Source organism: Homo sapiens, chromosome 8 (genome assembly GCF_000001405.40).
Source record: "Homo sapiens chromosome 8, GRCh38.p14 Primary Assembly".
NCBI classification, from domain to species: domain Eukaryota; kingdom Metazoa; phylum Chordata; class Mammalia; order Primates; family Hominidae; genus Homo; species Homo sapiens.
In genome coordinates, this window is record NC_000008.11 from 70403091 (window position 1) to 70422556 (window position 19466).

General features: G+C 40.6%; 1 protein-coding gene across 33 annotated transcripts in view, besides 4 other annotated features; it reads right to left on the reverse strand.

Moving 5' to 3' along the window:
• The window catches only part of NCOA2 (nuclear receptor coactivator 2), a 346665-nt gene that overhangs the window by 293309 nt on the left and 33890 nt on the right, over nt 1–19466 (reverse strand). For 9 of the 33 annotated variants that reach the window (NM_001321711.2, XM_047421254.1, NM_006540.4 and 6 more), the window contains exon 1: nt 610–718. The exons of 1 other annotated variant lie outside the window; for it this stretch is intronic. The gene's annotated coding sequence lies outside the window, so the exon portion shown is untranslated. Of the gene's footprint in view, nt 1–107; nt 301–609; nt 719–935; nt 1128–19466 lie in introns of those variants that run through there. 23 more of the 33 variants (XM_047421258.1, XM_047421256.1, NM_001321703.2 and 20 more) reach the window with 3 other exon arrangements.
• Nucleotides 5–294: a silencer, noted in NCBI's record as "silent region_19269". NCBI's record gives its function as "represses an Ori minimal core promoter by ATAC-STARR-seq in GM12878 lymphoblastoid cells {active_cell/tissue: GM12878}" and the evidence as "EXISTENCE:reporter gene assay evidence [ECO:0000049][PMID:35858748]".
• Nucleotides 335–644: a silencer, noted in NCBI's record as "silent region_19270". NCBI's record gives its function as "represses an Ori minimal core promoter by ATAC-STARR-seq in GM12878 lymphoblastoid cells {active_cell/tissue: GM12878}" and the evidence as "EXISTENCE:reporter gene assay evidence [ECO:0000049][PMID:35858748]".
• Nucleotides 1115–1234: an enhancer, noted in NCBI's record as "active region_27507". NCBI's record gives its function as "activates an Ori minimal core promoter by ATAC-STARR-seq in GM12878 lymphoblastoid cells {active_cell/tissue: GM12878}" and the evidence as "EXISTENCE:reporter gene assay evidence [ECO:0000049][PMID:35858748]".
• Nucleotides 1335–1494: a silencer, noted in NCBI's record as "silent region_19271". NCBI's record gives its function as "represses an Ori minimal core promoter by ATAC-STARR-seq in GM12878 lymphoblastoid cells {active_cell/tissue: GM12878}" and the evidence as "EXISTENCE:reporter gene assay evidence [ECO:0000049][PMID:35858748]".

The window sequence follows — 19466 nt, forward strand, 5'->3', positions numbered from 1 at the left end:
CACACACCCCCAGCACTTCCCGAGTCCTGCCTCCCCTCGCCCGGCTCCCACTCTCCGCTGCAGCCGCTCCGCGCTTCCATTAAAGAATGCACCTTCCCAGGATTCACCTTCTCGGCTCTGCCGCGCTGCCCCCGAGGGGTTAGAGCCTCGGTCTCCGCCGACCCCGCACCGGGCTGGGCAATGGGCACTCGCTCCTCGGGGCGGGGGCCGCGCCCGCACCCCCGGCCGCGCCTCGGCGCTCACCTCTCGCCCGCGCCGCGGGCTGCAGCCTCCGCCCGCCTCGCGCTCCGGGACTCGTCTCCTGAGCTCTCGCAAGGCGCTGGAGCGCCTCCTTTCTCTCCCGGGGACTCCGCGTCTCCCCGTCGCTTCCCGCCCTCCCCACCCCCAAGCCCCAACTCCCCAGCGTCGCTGCGCCTCCGGGATGCAACTCCCGTTTTCCGCGCACTCCGGCGGCGGTCCCCGCACACAAAAACAGCCTCTCGGAGGCGCACGGCTCTGTCGGAGCTCGGCGCAGGAAGGGCAGTCGCGGCCGGGGGTGGGGACGCGGCGCCCCCCGCCTGCCGCCCGCCCCCCGCCCGCCCTCGCGGCCCCGGGGGAAGGCGCGGTTACCGGCTCGGGTCGGTCACGCCGTCAGGTGCCGGCTGCCGTCGGCGCTGACCTTCGCCGCCGAAGCTGTAGCCGAGGCTGCGGCCGCCATGTTCCCGTGTTAATAACTGCTGCCTGGTTGTTTATTTCAATGGAGATCCTCCCCCAACTCCCTCCTCCTCCTCCTCCTCCTCCTCCTCCTCCGCGTCTCCGCACTTGCGGAGAGACAGACAGCGCGAGCTCGCGAGCAGGGGAGGGGGCTCGGGAGCCAGGCCGTCCCTCCCTCTGCCTCCCCGGCAGTGGCCGCCGCCAAGTCCTGTCACCGGGAAAAGGACGGGGCGGAAACTTGCCTCTCGCGCCCCCGAGGAAGGGGCAAAGGTGGACGCAGGGTTGTCCGGGGAGCAGCCCCTGGCCGCGGGGTCCGCAGCATCTCCGTCGGCAGAGTCCTCTGAGAAGGCGGCCCGGGGAGAGGTGAAGAAGAGTAAGGGGACAGGGGACAAAATGGGTGACTGTGGTAGAGGGAGGGTGACCTAGAGGTGACTGGAACTGAAGAGAGAGTCAACAGAGGACTGCATGGGAGGGCAAAGGGCAATGCCAAAAAGAAAACTAGCGACTGGGACGGGCCTGGGCCGCTGAGTTAGAGGCAGTGGGGCCTGGGGGCTGCAGACGGCAGGGACGGTGCCCCAGGACGAAGATCGGGGAGAGCCGAGTTCCAGGGTCGCCAGCAGAGGACCCTCGCGCCCGTCCGGCCGGACCCTTCGGCCAGCACCCTGCACCCCCTCGGGCGCACCTCACCCTACCCAACTCCCGGTCCTGCCGCTGCTCCCCGGAGGCGCCCCGCATCCGTCAAGTCCCCTACGGCTCCAACAGGGAGAGGCTTCTCCCATTGCAGTCCTAGCTCCAGAGGGGATGGAGAGGCGCGACTGTGGGAGCTGGAAGGGGCACCACCCGGCAATTGCGGGATAAAGCAAATGCTGCACACAGAGTGTGAAACTTAACCTGGTTGAGAATTTTCGGCACATCATGAAATCATAAGTTTGTATTGGAAAGTCCATTCTCTAGACATCCGTGAACAAAGTACTGAGGGGACGTAGGAGATTGGCACTGAAAATGCGAGAACCCCCATTTAAGTGTTACTTAGACCAATCTGTTTTACGCTTTGGAAAAGCAAGTTTTTTTTCCAACTTATACGGTAATTAGTTGAAAAAAAAAACTTTTGTTTAATGGCAGTTATCAAACTATGAGAGGAACATATTCCCTGATTTTAATCTTATAATGAGAAAGGTCACTTGCGGTAGACAATAAGAGTGTTTATTGAACACTTACTGTGAATCTGACTGTGCTAGGTGATGTATATATGCTATAGGCCTTAATCCTCAAACCTTCCGAAGTCATTGCCGCTTTTCACTTCACACAAAAAATTGAAGCTTAAAGTAATTTGCCCAGGGTCACAGCCAGTAGTTGGAGAGGATGTGAGCCCAGTTCTGGTGAGCTCCAAAGCCCATGCTTTTAAACATGTCTTCATCCTAAAATTTGTGGGTGTACCGCCAATTTTATTTGGGAAAAGAATAAAAAAAATGTGTGGGGTGTGTGTGTCTGTGTTTGTTTGTGGATAGAAAATGCTTGGAAGCCTATAACAACAAATGTTAGCGCTGGGGAGTGTAAGAAGTGGGTGATGAGGCACTTCCACTTTTTATTTTGCACACCTATCTAATGTTTGAAATGTTTGCATTGACTATGTATTAATGTATATTTTTAAAGGTTTTTTTTTTTTTTTTTTTTTTTTTTTTTTAGCTAGCTGGAATAATAGAATTATGTTCCCAAAGCGTTGAGAGGAAATGGAGAGTTTGTTTATGGCCTATCTTCTGCTAATACCAGTCTGTAGCTTGTCTACAATGGGGTAGTAGTCACCTGAGGTTTGTCACAATTCTGAACTCCCGATTTGCTTTCCTGTCCTCACCCCCAACTGTGAGTTATCAGGAGTTGTGATAATAAATAAATAAATAAATAAAAATTTAAAAAAAAGATTCTCCTTCTTGCTTGCTATCCCTCCCATTTTGGCAGAAGTCCAGAGTCTATCAGTCCTCTGCAATCGTAGATTTCACACTTTTTAAAACTACCCATGATACCTCTGCAAACAAATGACTCCCCCCATTGCATTCCCGTATTACCCAATAAAACGTCTTACGACGGCTGAAGACTTTTTCTTACAAGAAATAAACAAAAACGTCTGACAGCATAGTAGATGAGTTCCATGCCCAAGTGCTACTCAATTGCCTGAGCTTGAATTGAATTGTGTGACTTAAACGCGCTCTGGTACAATCTCTGGGTGCCCTCTGAACTTCAGGCTCTTGCTGTAACAGTAGTCTGTCTTGCACTAGAGTTGTTTATATGTTTGTCTTTCTCTTTCACTAGATTGTAAGTGCAACAGAGCCCAAGACCTAGTCTTGTTCTTGTTTGTACATGCTATAGCACCTAACAAGGAATGTATGATGTTTGTTGTTTCATTGAATTTGTGAAATATAAATAATAGTATCTATTCCGATCCTCATGTCCTCTTCCCCACCTCATCTTCCAATCCCTTGCTCATAAAACATGTTTATAAAAAACATCTTCCATACTTAGAAAGAACTTTGATTCCCATGAGACCTCAGAACAATTGTTTATTAAAACTAGCCATAATTTTTAGTGAATCATCACTATGATAATGTAAAATGAAAAGGTAGAGGAGGCGGTAAATAAGTTGGCTCAATGACACAAATTAAGAAAGGAAGAAGAAGGAAAGAAAAAAGAAGGCAAAGATATAGGAACTAGGTATATTACCAAGAGAGAACAACAAGGAAAAAATATGTGGGTGCAGATCATAAAGGGGAAGGAAATTATTGAAATTTAGTGGAAGTAGAAATAACATACCGTGAATGGATGAGGCAAGGAAACACCAAAAATGTCAGCAGAATCATAAATGCAGCATGGAAAAGTAAAGAAAATGACAAATTATATATTTAACAATATAACCTAGGAATAATCAGAACAATATGACTGCTACAAGACAAGAATTTCTATTTTTGTCTGCCTTTTCTTCCACAGTTTTCAAAGTACTCACTTTTTTCATAAGTAAACTGCATAAAAGTGGGAGATTCTATACTATTTTTGAGTTAATACTACTAGCATACATCATGAGATTAGAGGTAACAGTATGGTAAAAAAGAGCTATAGAATATAAGCAAATAAATATGATGTGAAGTGGTCTCTGTAAGTTACTGTGTGACCTCAAACAAGTCACTAAATATCGCAATTTCCTCATCTGTGTAATTGTTGCAAGACTCAAAATGGTGTAAATAAATGTACTTTGTTAACTATCAAGCTCTTTATACAGATGTAAGGGAATATTATTATGTCAGCTAATATGTAGCACAGTTATCTCTGTTTTGGTGCATTCCTAAATTGCCAAAGCAAAAATCTATAGTTCATTCTATTAAAATGTAATCATAGGGTGGGGGCGTCAGTTAAAACATTTGTTTGTCAATTTGATTATTGAACGACTGTGATGAAATGTTTCATTCTTATTGTTTGCTCTCTTCTAAATCCCTTAAATAGTATAACTACAATAAACAAATGTCTAATATAAGTCAAGCATATTACATAAATTTTTTCCTTACTGAAGTAGTCATTGTATGTATATTATTCTCATTTTATGTACAATAAAGCTGAGCTTCAGAGACTTCAAGTAAATTAATGCAAAGTCATAGAACTGCCTTCGCTGCATATCTAAGATTGTGTTAGGATTCTACTCTTCATCACTTGTATTTCTACTACTCTGAGAAACACATTGGCTGGGCGCAGTGGCTCACGCCTGTAATCACAGCACTTTGGGAGGCCGAGGCAGGCAGATCACGAGGTTAAGAGATTGAGACCATCCTGGCCAACATGGTGAAACCCCGTCTGTACTAAAAATACAAAAAAAAAAAAAAATTAGCTGGGTGTGGTGGCGCGCTCCTGTAGTCCCAGCTACTTGGGAGGCTGAGGCAGGAGAATTGTTTGAACCGGGAGGCGGAGGTTGCAGTGAGCCAAGATCGCACCACTGCACTACAGCCTGGTGACAGAGCAAGACTCTGTCTCCTAGAACATAATGCATACTCAATAAATGATCATGAAAAGAATGAATAAATGAATGAATGGGCTCCCTTCAAGTCATACTGTACACTGTCACAGGATTGATCCCCTCAGTCTTATTTTGTTACTTTCCCACTTGAAAACACTTAATGATCCTTCATTAACTATGGAATACAATTCAAATCCTTCATCTTAGATTAAGAACCTCTTTGATATACCCCCTCTATTCATACCTCCCTTATTTCTCCCCCTCTATTCATACCTCCCTTATTTCTCAAGCAAAAACAAATATTAATACACCCACACTCATTCCAGGGTATTCTGAGTGAGATTGACATGAGTTTCAATCTTGGCTCTTACTAACTGGGTGAACTTGGGCAAGTTATTTGGCATCTCTGCAAATTTTATCAGTGCAATAAGACAAGAAAATGAATTGGAAGGAGGTGAAACCAAACTTATTCACTAATGATGATATAGTGTACGTACAAAATTCAAAAGAATCCATGAACTACTAAAATGAATGTAGGATCACAAGGTACAAGGTCAATTGTATTTCTTCTGTATGTTAGCATGAAACAACTGGAAAATGAAAATTTTAAAATGCCATTTACAAAAGCATTTTAAAAATCAAAATTCAGGAATAAATTTAATGAAAGATGTCACATGATCTCTACATTGAGAAAAAAATATTGCTAATAGAAATTCACAATGGCCTAAAAACAGAAATAGACTGGGCACAGTGGCACATGCTTGTAGTTCCAGCTACTTGGGAAGCTGAGGCGGGAAGATCACTTGAGCCTAGGAGTTGTAGACCAGCGTGGGCAACATAGCAATACTGTGTCTCTTAAAAAGTTAATTTTTGTGTGTGTGTGTGACATGACCTTACTCTGTCACTCAGGCTGGAGAGTGCAGTGGCACAATTACAGCTCACTGCAGCCCTGACCTCCCTAATAGTCAGGAATACAGGTGTGTGCCACCACACCCAGCTTTTTTTTTTTTTTTTGGATTTTTTTTTTTTTGTAGAGATGGGGTTTCACCGTCTTACCCAGGCTGATCTTGAACTGCTGGGGCTGAAGTGATCTGCCCACCTAAGCCTTCCAGAGTGTTAGGATTACGGCATAAGCCATCATGCCAGACCAAAACATTAAATTTTTAAAACAAGAGATGGGACCAGGTATAGTGGCTCATGCCTGTAATCCCTGCACTTTGGGAGGCTGAGGTGGGAGGATCACTTGAGGCAAAGAGTTTGAGACCATCCTGGGCAACAGAAATGGGCAAAAGGACTCCATTTCTGTTTTAAAAAACAGTATTAAGATGTCATCAGTATTAACATGTCAACACTTAGCAAATGGATCTATAGATTCAATGCAATCCCAATCAAAATCCCAGCAAGCTTTTTAAGTAAAAATTGAGGTCTAATTCTAAAAATTATATGCAAATACATATTACCTAGAATAGCCAAGACAAACTTGAGGAAGCATGAGTTGAATGACTTACACTGCCAGCTTCAATATTTACTATAAAGCTACACTAATTAAGACAGTGTGATATTGGTGTAAGAATAGACAAACAGATCAATGGAACAGAATAGAGAATTCAGAAATAGGCCCCCAAACTTATAGTCAATGAATTTTGTACAAAGTTGTCAAATAAATTCAATGGAAAAAGGAAAGTCTTGTCAATAAGTAGTGCTACAACTAGGTATCAGTTTGGAGAAAATAGTGACTTCTTACCATACACAAGAATGAATTCAAGATGGATCATAGACTTAAATGATAAAAACCAAACTATAAAGCTCCTAGAAGAAAACATCAGCCATCCTTGTATTCCAAGCACTTTGGGAGGCCAAGGCAGGAGAATGGCTTGAGCCCAGGAGTTCAAGACTAGCCTGGGCAACATGGTGAAACTCCATCTCTAAAATAAGTAAATAAAAAAGCCAGGTGTGGTGGCACACACCTGTAGTCCCAGCTGCTTGGGAGGCTGAGGCAGAAGGATCACTTAAACCTGCAAGGTTGAGGCTGCAGTGAGCCATGATCATGCCACTGCAATGAGCTGAGCTGGAGCCTGAGCAAGAGAGCAAGACCCTGTGTGAAAGAAAGAATAAAAGAGAGAGAGAGAGAGAAGAAAGAAAGAGAGAGCAGCCAGGTGCAGTGGCTCATGCCTGTAATCTCAGCACTTTGGGAGACCAAGACAGCCGGATCACCTGAGGTCAGCAGTTCGAGACCAGCCTGGCCAACATGATGAAATCCCGTCTCTACTAAAAATACAAAAATTAGCTGGGCATGGTGGAGCATACCTCTAATCCTAACTACTGGGGAGGCTGAGGCAGGAGAATCACTTGAACCCAGGAGGCAGAGGTTGCAGTGAGATGAGATTGTGCCAGTGCACTACAGCCTGAGTGACAGAGTGAGATTCTTGTCCAAAAAAAAACAAAAAACTGACAATATCAAATACTGGGGAGAATGTTGGGCAATTGGAACTCTTATTCTTTGCTGGCAGAATTGTACAAACACCTTGGAAAACAGAAACTTCCTCATGAAGTTAAGTATACACAATTCTACCCTACAGTTCTCCTAGGTATTTACCTGAGAGAAATGAGAACAGATGTTCACCAAAAGATTGTATAGAACATTAATAATATAGAATATAATAATAACCCAGCCTCCCAAGCAGCTGGGACTACAGGTGTGTGCCACCACACCTGGCTTTTTTATTTATTTATTTATTTTAGAGATGGAGTTTCACCATGTTGCCCAGGCTGGTCTTGAACTCCTGGGCTCAAGCCATTCTCCTTCCTTGGCCTCCCAAAGTGCTTGGAACACAAGCATGGCCGATGTTTTATTCATGATAGTGAAAACCTGGAAACTAATTTCCATCGTCAAGTTATGTGGAGGAACAAAGTGTGGTATATTCGTACAATGGAATAGTACTCAACAATACAAGGAACAAATTACTGAAATATGCAATAACATGAATGAATTTTAGAAGCATTTTGCTAAGCAAAAGTAGTCGTACGGGTGCATTCTGTACAATTGCATTTATGCTAGAATACTACAGGTGCAGGCAAAATGAATGTATAATGATGAAAGTTGATGCTAGGGTTGTGGGGGGTGCAGATTGACTGGAAAAAGGGAAGACAGAATTTTGGAGGGATGAAGAAATATTCTGGGGTGATTAATATTGATTTAGGTGATAGTTACATTTTGACAAACCATTGTCAAAAATGTATTGAGTTGTACCCTTAGGATTTGTGTATTTTGCTATTAACTTATGCAAATTATACCTAAACAAAGTACTATTAGCATTTTAAAAAACCGGGTAAGAGGGAAGTTCCCCAGTATAATGAAGTATATTTACAGAAAGCCTATAACAAACATTGTACTCAATATTGAAACATTTATAGCTTCCCCCTGAGATTGAGAAAGAGAATTGCAAATAGTATGCCCAGTATTACCATTTGTAACCAACATTGTACAGGCAGTTCTAGCCAATGTGATAAAAGGGGAAAAAATGGCATAAAGATTGCTAAGGGAGAAATAGAACTGTCATTATTTGCAGATGGCATGAATGTTTATGTGAAAAATGCAAAGGAATCTACAAACTATTAGAATTAAATTTAATAAGATCTCTAGAATGGGAGGTCAATATAGAAAAATTAATTGTGTTACTATATATTAGAAACAATTAGAAAATGAAAATTTGGCATGTAAATTGAAAACTGTTTGGCAATATCCATTAAAGCTGAGCATGTCTCCTGGGTGACCTAATAATTCTGTTCCTTAGTATGTATCCTATAGAGTCCTTCAACAGAAGACTGAATGAATTACAGCATTTTTGTTCAATGGAATACTATACTGAAATGAAAATGAACAAACTATAGCTTCACACAATAACATGTATAAATCATAGAGAAATAACCTTGAATAAAAGAAACTAGATACAAAAGAACACTACTATATGATGCTATTTACATAAAGGTCAGACAGGCAAACCTAATCTATGGTGATAGATACCAGGATAGTTGTTACCTTTTGCCAGGTAGGTGCGGCCTAGGAAGGCACATGAGAGAGATTTGGGGATTCTGAGAATATTCTGTTTCTAATCCGAGTGGAGGTTACATGGACATGTTGATTTTATGAAACATTTGTGCACAGTTTATTCATGGTATACAAATGACTTGTGTGCCTATGTATATTACACTTCAATTTTTTAAATGTTATTGTTGTTTGCATTTACTGAATCTCGCTCCCTAACTAGACTGTAAACTCCCTGAAGACAGGGATTATATTTTAGATTTCTTAGCATCCCTCACAGATTTTAGCACAGCTGCTTCATAAAATGTTACTTTACAGCCCAGGCGTGGTGGCTAGCAGCTGTAATTCCAGCTACTCAGGAGGAGTAGCTTGAGCCTAGGAGTTCAAGCAGCAGTGAGCTATGATCACACCACTGTACTCCAGCCTGGGCAATGAAGCAAGACCTTGTCTGTCTCTAAAAAGAATAAAAATAGAAAATAAAAGATTACTTTACAAAAATAAGTTGATATAGTTCCCAATAAAGTCTATTTGTTTAGTTTTAGTGTAAGTACAAATAATAGTAAAACAACATATTTTATATATATATATAAAATATATAAAGATATGTAAAATCAATTTAAGTATTGACATTTTGTCTAAAGATCTCCTTTCTCTTAGTTTATCTCTAGTAACTCCAAAAGAAAGCTCTAGATATATATTAAAAGTAGAATTTATACTCAGGAAGCTGAGACAGGAGAATTGCTTGAACCAAGGAGGCAGAGGTTGCAGTGAGCCAAGATAACACCACTGCACTCCAGCCTGGGCAACAGAGCACTACTTCGTCTCAAAAAAAAAAAAAAAAAAAAAAAACTAGAATCTAATAAATTAAGCCCAATGTGAGAATCACATCTCATTTGAGTATTGCTAGTATGTAAAAATTGGAATACAGATAGACATAACACCAGGTATTGGCTTCACCTGACTTAACACCACTTAACATAAAAGTTAATAGTGGGCCGGGTACAGTGGCTCATACCTATAATCCCAGCACTTTAGGAGGCCAAGGCAGGTAGATCACTGGAGGCCAAGAGTTCAAGACCTACCCGGCCAACATGGCGAAACCCTGTCTCTACTAAAAATATAAAAATTAGCCAGGTGTGGTGGTGCACACCTGTAATCCCAGCTACTTGGGAGGCTGAGGCATGAGAATCACTTGAACCCAGGAGGCAGTGGTTGCAGTGAGCTGTGATGGTGCCACTGTGCTCCAGCCTGGGCGACAGAGTGAGACTCCGTCTCAAAAAAAAAAAAAAAAAAAAGAATAGAGACATAGGTTCTAAAGGTTCTAAACCGGTATCTGAATGCATAATCAATGAGACTTGGGCATTTTGTGTGTGTGTCTTTCTTTACACACAACATTTGCCATCTTAGCTATTTTTAAGTTACAATTCAGTGGCATTAAATGCATTCACCTTGCTGTGCAACCCTCAACACTATCCATCTCTAGAATTTTTTCAAGCAAATCTTCTGGACATGCAATTAAATGCATCTAGGACTCAGTTTCCTACCTGAGTCCTACATTTTTAAGATTCCATGCAGCTCTGAAACACTACATCCGGGAACTAAAGAACATTCAAAGAAAAACAGACTCCTTTGGTTAAAATGCAAGTTTTATAAAACCCTAGATCCAGAAACCTATGTTAATGTTCAGTTACAGTTGGGATAGAATAATGCCTTTGCGAAACAGACTGCATCTAAATAATTGTTCTTTTGCCTCAGGAAAAGAACCATCTTCAGAAGAGTAATATACCCTTCACTTCTTTTGAAATAGGCTTTATAAACATGGACCACTTGACAGAGAGTCTTACCACTGAACACCCACTCCAGCAATAGTTTCTGAACTCTAAAATCAAAACTTTGTTTTTATTCAAAATATTTACAGAGTCAATCAATGTTATACTTTTATTAGTCCATTATTTATGAATGTCGTTTTTTAACATCTTTGATTAAATGCCTCGGCCCCTGGGTTGTTTGTTTTGTTTTGTTTTCAGTTTTCCCCCAAAATAATTATGAAGTTCCAGCCATGCGACTACCAGAGAGATTGCAGTTGGTCTCGTGCCCCACCCCCATGCCCTTTTAGATGATTAATGTCCAAGCTCTTAAACCGAGTGGTAGGTATGTGAATATTTATTATTCCTATATCTGTCACACATGTTATAAATATTTTCTGTGTATATATGATATTTAGTTTAAAAAATTTAAATTCCTTCTATAATAACTGTTTTACTTAATCACATTCTTTTCTTATAAAACAACAAAAGCTAACATTTAGACCCTGTTTTTCTTTAGACCAAGTTTTAAAATAAATTACTAATATTGGGTACTTTCTCATACACTTTGTCTCTGATTTACACATGGTCAACTAACCACCGTCTAAGACTAACAATGCTCTTCCATGTCTGAACTCCCTTCTCTTTCTGCCTCTGCCTGCCTCTTCCCTTATCCTCTTTCCTCTTCTCTCTCCTTACTGTGGGCTTTGCAGCTGTTTCTCTCCCTTTTTAATAGTGGTTTCATTGACAATATCACCATTGCCTCATATGTGAGTTCTACCTCCCTCTGGAGATGATTGTTTTCCTTCCTCTGGATCCCTTGTTGCCATCCCTAAGATAAAATCCCAAGCCCAGGTGACTTTGAGTATTCCCCGACAGAGCAACCACATTACCCCAAGGTGCCCCATCTTCATCTATACATGTTTAGCAGAGTCCCTATCCAAGTGCAGCATAGTTTTCCACAAAAATGCATATGATGGTTATGTTTTATTACCAGTACAGTACTATTATTGATGTCACAGGTTTTAGGAAGACAGCTCTGAGAATTTAGGCTCCTCGAAAATCTGGTTTCTATAGAAAAACATGCTTTACTTTACCACCAATAAATGAAAAAGTAAACTTTGGAAATAAGTGCATGAAGATTGTTTGTGCTTTCCATCTAAGACTTCAAAGCCCTTCATAAAACACAGTTTTTAAAAAAGCCTTTTGACACAACTAATAGCCATTCAAGGACTTGTTATATTCATAACTAAGATGCATTTATTAGCAACCTTTGACATGAAGCCCAGGAGATAATGCACAAAATGATAAAAAAAAAAGATAGGGTATGTTTCTTTCCATTTATTAATTCAGTGAAAATTTGTTCAGTTTCTACTCTAGTTCAAGTACTGGAGACTAGGCATGGTGGCTCATGCCTGTAATCCTAACACCTTTGGAGGCTGAGGTGGGAGGATTGCTTGAGCCCAGGAGTTTGAGGCTAGCCTGGGCAACATGGCAAGGCCCCCATCTCTACAAAAAACTTTCTTCAAAATTAACCTGAGTTTTTTATTTTTTTTTTTAATTAGCTAATGTTCACCTGTGTTCCCAGTTACTTGGAAGGCTGAGGTGTGAGGATCGCTTGAACCCAGGAGTTTGAGGCTTCAGTGAGCCATGTTCACACCACTGCACTCCAGCCCGGGTGACAGAGCAAGACTCTGTCCCAAACAAACAAACAAAAAGTACTAGAGACCCAGTACTAAACAAACTCCTCTATCTGAATGAAATTTACAGCAGATGCGGCCCATACTAGGCACTCAATAAATATTTGTGGAGTGAGTGATTGTGCCTAAGAAAACCCTTAGAATACGATAGATATTTTTGTTTCATAAAATTCAATGAAATCAATGAATGAAGGGGTTGCAGAATATAAATTAGGCAGGGGAATTTTACAGCAATCAAAGTTAAAATACTTCCTATTCCTACTGAAGTAATTGTGGGCGGGAATATTGGGTGACTGTGACCAGAAAGGCAACACCTCTACAGCCCATATGGCTCTTACTTTGCTGGGCACGGGTTAGGAGACAAGTGCCATCCCACCACTACCTCTATACCTTTTTGCTAATTTTAACTTTGAGACCTAAGTGTATTTTATCTACAAGTAGTTTAGATTTATCATCTTCACTTCAAGAACTCTGCACTCATTTACGGTAGCATTGTAACAGAAGACAGAATTTTACCAAATGTAACAAAGGCTTTAGACCATGATAATTAGTTGCATTTGAAATCCCATCTTCATAGATATTCATAATGTATTTCTTCTTTATGATATTACTACGATTGCAATCCTCCTAAAAAGCCAAACATTTTTGTATTAGAGTTCTCTAGAGAAATAGAAATTAGATATTTATATCTAATAAAGAGATTAATTTTAAGGATTTGGCTCATGCAATTGTGGGGACTTGAAAGTCCAAACTTTGCAGAGAAGGCCAGTAGGGTGGAAATTGAAGCAAGAGTTGATGTTGCAGTCTTCAGTCTGAAGGAAGTCTGGAAACAGAATTCCTTCCTTCTTGGGGGACCTCAGTTTTTTTGTTTTTTTTTTTTTTCTCTTAATGCGCTCAGCTGATTTAAATGTTCAATGAGCACTGCTGATTTCAGTGTTAATTACATCTAAAATACCTTCAGAGCAACATCTAGACTAGTGTTTGGCCAAACAACTGGGCACCACAGCCTAGACAAATTGACACATTAAATAAATCACCACAGACTACTATTTCTCAAGTTGGATCCATGCAGTCTTCTTAAGCCATACTTAATCTCCAAGTGAAGACAATAAAAAATTCATACTTCTGCCTAACATGATACAACTATCTTGTGTGTAACCAAAAATACACTAACACTTTCCCCAGAGAGGAAAGCAAAGTCCTTGAGTAATGTTCACTCTTCTTGATATCTTGTAACTTAAATTTTACTATGATATTGCCTTAGTACATTTAATGCTGCTATATCAGAATACTAGAGACTGGGTAATTTATAATGAAGAGAAATGTATTGACTCATGATTCTGGAAGTTGGAAAGTCCAAGACTGAGGGGCCAGATCTGGCAAGGGCTTTCATGCTTTATCATCCCATGGCAGAAGGGAAAAGAGAGAGTGAGAGAGTGAGAACAAAGGGTATCAAACTTGCCCTTTATAATGAACCACTCTTGCGGTAATAGCCTAATCACTTCTCATTAGGCTCATCTCCCAACACTATTGCCTTGGGGATTAAGTTTCTAACACATGCTTTTTGGGGGACACATTTAAACCACAGCAGATGTTAAGTTGATAATACTTAAATACTTGATGTAAAATCAATACATCTTATGTTATATGTTAAGGGGATATGGGAGGAAAGGAAAGAAAACAAGATATTTGCCCTATACACACATACATGCATTCAAATGAAATAAGGAAACAATTACAGCCTCATTTCTATAAATGGTCATGTGGTTGTAGCTAGTACTTAAAACTACCTTCTTGGTGCTGGGCATGGTGGCTCATGCTTATAATCCCAGAACTCTGGAAGGCTGAGACAGGAGGATCTCTTGAGGCCAGGAGCTTGAGATCAGCCTGGACAACATAGTGAGACCTCGTCTCTATTAAAAAAAAAAAAAAAAAAAAAGGCCAGGCGCAGGGGCTCATGCCTGTAATCCCAGCACTTTGGGAAGCCGAGGTGGGTGGATCACCTGAGGTCAGGAGTTTGAGACCAGCCTGGCCAACACAGTGAAACCCCATCTCTACTAAAAATACAAAAATTTGTCAGGCATGGTGGTGGGCGCCTGTAATCCCAGCTATTCGGGAAGCTGAGGCAGGAGAATTGCTTTAACCTGGGAGGCAGAGGTTGCAGTGAGCCAAGCTTGTGCCATTTCACTCCAGCCTGGGCAACAAGAGTGAGACTCTGTCTCAAAAAACAAACAAACAAACAAACAAACAAACAAACAAAACTACCTTCTTTCATTATCCATTCTGTATTCCCCTTGCCCTCAACAAGCATGTTACTCAGCTGATCGTGGTTTTTTACCCGGTCAGGTGACTCAAAACTTCATTCATGAAAGATCTAAGTAAGCCATTAGTAGTTGTGCCTGAATTGGGTTGTAGTTTTTCATTGATTTTACTCTAGGGTATAGAGGACTAAGAGACATCCTAATAGATCTTCTGCATTTCAGCCTTTTTCGTATCTCCATTGTGTAGTTGCTGACTAGTTTCCCCTGGCAATCAGAATAAATCATTCCAGCAGTACATTAACTCCCTTCTTTGTCTGCTAATTCAGAGGCACGAGAGAGCCAAAGTGGCCAGGTCGCAATCTTAACTTCCAGTTCATGGAGCCATTGTTATGTTTGTTAGTGGAAGAATTCCTCCCTTTGGAACTAAGACCTCTAGATTAGCAGCATATAAAATCTCAGGAATAGGAAGCAAAAATTTTGCTAGTGAATCAGTAGCATAGTAGCGATACTCCCTCCCATTTCTACTTCTTAATTCTCAGACCTGTGAATAGTGGGTATGGGAGAAAACAGCACCATTTATTGACACTTACTTAGAACACACACAGCCACCTGGAGAACCCTGTCCCAGTCCTGCAAGGTATTGTCACCTAGCTGACATTATAACTGAGTCTTCAAAAGGCCATTCCACTGTACTGTCAAGCCAGAGATGCTTCAGGATGGTGGGGAACATGGTAAGACAAGTGAATTTCATGACCCTGGGCCTACTGAACTTCATTTACCATAAAATGAGTTTCTTGATCAGAAGCAATGCTGTGTAGAATGCCATGATGGTGAATAGGAGGTCCCGTTCTGTGGATACCAGTCAGCCTCCTTCCAGAGACTCCTGTCATCATTCAGCAAACTCATAAACAAGGTGACTATGATGGCAATATGGACTTCCAATCAGTGGATGCCACTGCTAAATCCCCAGTCTGCCAGCAGCAGAGACCACACCGAGTCCCCCATATGGCACCATTCCCTAATCAGCTAGCTACCTAGTGGTAGGTCAATTACATTGGACTGCTTCTAACATGAAAGAAGCAGCATTTACTCTAGTTATAGATATGCCTTCCCTGCACAAAATGCTTCTGTGAAAACTACTATTATAGACCACTTTGCTCAGAAGCACCATCTCTTTGCAATATTTTTCAAAAGAATATACATAACACTGAAATAGTAGTTAAAACAATCTAACTCACTTTCTTTGGTGACCAAAAATCTAGTACTATATTTGCAATATATTCATTTTAGCAAACTTGCTCTAAAATGCAAAAAAACATATTTATAATTGACAATTGGTTATAAACATAATACCAGCAATGTGATGTATCTGTAGTAATAAAGTGAGTGCTCTATTCAGTATGCTTCCATCAGTGTGTATAATGGGTTGTCAGTGCCAAGCTGAGAAGATTTGGATCCCCATGGGCATAATTTCAAGATTTTTTATAGTATAGTGGAATTTTGTAGGATTTTATAAAAAAAAAAAAAAACTAGATATCCAGATTCTTTATTGAACAAACCCTCCCAGTGTATTTGGCTTGGTTTCACTGTTGGCTTTTTCTTGATTTTTGCTAGGTTTTTCATATGTTAAATTTTAAGTAGGGACATTGTTGCAATTCTTCAAGGAGTTTTTATCTTTAGTCTGCTCACTCCTAAAATGATGTTTTTTTAAATGAACCAAAAGGATATATTTTATATAGCATGTTTTAAATAAATAGTCAATGAAAATGTGTGTAATAGTATCTATTTTTAAGTACTATGCTATTATGCATAATCTGTTTTCTTTAAAATTTGAAATTCTTTCCTTCCCTTTAAATATATCATTAACTTGTGATAATCTTAACTACATTTTAACTCTATTCTAGAGTGATTATACTTTCTTTACGATGGGCTCTTTTACTTTTTTTGCCCCTTTTCTTGTCCCTACTTATTGTTTTTGCCCTTTTTCTTGTCCCTACTTATTGTTTCTTTTCTATTCTTGGTCTGTTTTAATGTCCCTTTCTCATATACTTTTATTGCTTACTTGCTTTTCATCTAACTCTTTAACTCTCCTTTCCTATAATCCTAAATGATTTGTGTCATCTACCAAACTGAGTTTTTACTATTTTTTTCACCAACTGTTAATCAGTTTTGTCATTTTAAGGCACCCTCAAATGTGACTTCAATTTCAAATAAACTTCCCATTTGCTATTGATATAACTATAATGTTTGTATACATTTCCCATGACTTCCAATTAACCATGAATGACGACAGTTTTTAAACTTGATTTAGGTATAATGCTATAGAAATACACTTTGTTAATATGCTTGAAATTAAATTTTAACATATTCCTTATTTTGGGAAAGCCTGTGCACATGCCTCTGGCAAGCGTATATGTCACTTTATCATATGTGCTGGAGTATTTTTCTCCTGCTATTAGACTGTAAGCCCCTTAAAAGCAAGAACCATATTTAAATCTCTAGTGTCTGGCACAGGGCAGGTTTTTAATGAATGGATAGTAAATAAATAAATGAATGGATGAGAACAAAGTTAGTTGTGTAATTTCCATGGTCTTGTTCAAAAAATACTTCCTCTGCCAGCTCCAAATGATACTAAATGAAATTTCTTTCACAAAGGCCAAGTCTTTTACTTTCCCAACTGGACTTATTTTACAACAAAAATACCGTTAGAAAAACACATTTATTTAAACCTATTTATCCAAGGCAGAAGTTCTTAATCTTGGCTGAAATTGGCTGAAAGTGAGAATCATGTCCCCATCCCAGTAAAAATAAATTAGAAACACCAGTCCCCCAACCCCAGGTGAGTCTAATGTGAAGGAAAGGCTGAGAACTACTATGCTAACTAAGAGAGAAGCAACCGATGGCATGTTCTAAGGGGCATGAAAATAAAGCGAGGTCTCTAATGATTGTGGCAAAGAAGTTCTTTGCTGTGGGAAGGGAGGTGGGGAGTTTAAAGAGTCCATTTCTCCCTTCAGGAGGCTGGGGGTGGCTGGAGACAGAAGTGTTCTTTGTTGTTGTTGTTTTTGTGTTTTGTTTTTGAGACCAAGTCTTGCTCTGTCGCCAGGCTGGAGTGCAGGCGCGATCTCTGCTCTCTGCAACCTCCACCTCCTGGTTTCAAGTGATTCTCCTGCCTCAGCCTCCCGAGTAGCTGGGACTACAAGCCTGCACCACCACGCCCAGCTAATTTTTGTATTTTTAGTAGAGACGGGGTTTCACCATGTTGGCCAGGATGGTCTCGATCTCTTGACCTCATGATCTGCCTGCGTTGGCCTCCCAAAGTGCTGGGATTACAGGCGTGAGCCACTGCACCCGGCCAGAAGTGTTTTTTAAGGTATCTGTTATCTTTAAAAACTTAAGGAGAAAGATTGTAAGTACTATCTAAAGAGGTAAACTTTGAAAAGGAAAAAATATTTAATTTTAAATTTTAAAATGAGGTCAGAGATTCTAACAAATGCTAATAAAAGGGCTCTTTGAATTTTTGGGGCTTTTACAAAAAATACTGTGTAGGCAGGCAAACACAGCAAGTGTATTAGGTATACAGACTAATACACTAAGAGGAAAGCCTAAAGAAGAATCAAAGTTGACATGACAGAACTTGAGAGGGGAAAAAAGAATTAGTATTAGAATACTAATTCTTTAAAATCTTGACACGGTGGCTCACGCCTGTAATCCCAGCACTTTGGGAGGCCAGGGTAGGAGAATCACTTGAAGCCAAGAGTTCAAGACTAGCCTGGGAAACATAGCGAGACCCCCATCTCTACAAGAAAAGAACACAAAACAATTAGCCAGGTGTGGTAGCATGCGCCTCTAGTCGTAGCTACTCAGGATGCGGAGGCAGGAGGATTGCTTGAACCCAGAAGTTCAAGACTGCAGTGAGCTATGATCGCACCACTACACTCAAGCCTGGGTAACAGAGTGAGATCCTGTCTCAAACAACAAAAAAGTATTTTTTAAATTAGTGTCTATACGATAATAATTCCGAAAACATAAAAACTATATGTGTCTGTGGATGAGGACTAGAAAAGAGATATTAAATGATTGGCATGTTTAGGTGTATTAAACTTGAAGCTTGAAGTTCTGGTTCCTACTTTGCTATTTAGATGCATACGTGTGGTGAGGTTTGGGCTTTTGGTAAAAAAAAAAAAGTAAATGTAGTAAAAATATAGTTAAAAAAGTAAAAATATATGCCAGGCGCAGTGGCTCATGCCTGTAATCCCAGCACTTTGGGAGGCTGAGGAGGGTGGATCACCTGAGGCCAGGAGTTCGAGACTAGCCTGGCCAACATGGTGAAACCCCATCTCTACTAAAAATACAAAAATTAGTCAGGTGTGGTGGAGTGTGCCTGTAATCCCAGCTACTTGGGAGGCTGAGGCAGGAGAATTGCTTGAACCAGGGAGGTGGAGGTTGCATTGAGCTGAGATTGCGCCATTACACTCCAGGCTGGGCAACCGAGCAAGACTCCGGTCTCGAAAAAAAAAAAGTAAAAATATAAACAAACCACCAAAAAAAAGAAAGAAAAGATGCTATGTGTCCTTAAGGAGGTCTCTTCATTTCTCTGGGGCCCAAATTTCTTTTCTGCAAAGTTAGGGAATTGAAAGCTTTAGTTAAACTAGTGCTTCTTGCAAGATTCCTCTAAGAGAGTAAAGAATGTAGCCTGTGGCTCAGAGCCAAGGCAACCTGAAGCACCCACTGCAAGTCCAAATTTTCTTGAAGTCTCGTGTTTTGCCTTAAAGGTGCATATCCTTGTATGTGAATTATTTCTCAAAATGCTGTGTTTTTTTTTTTTGTTGTCATTGTTTTTGTGTTGGGGTCTCACTCTGTTGCCCAGGTTGGAGTGAAGTCGTGCAATCTCAGCTCACTGCAACCTCTGCTTCCCAGGGTCGAGCGATCCTCCCACCTCAGCCTCCCAAGTAGCTAGGACTACAGGTG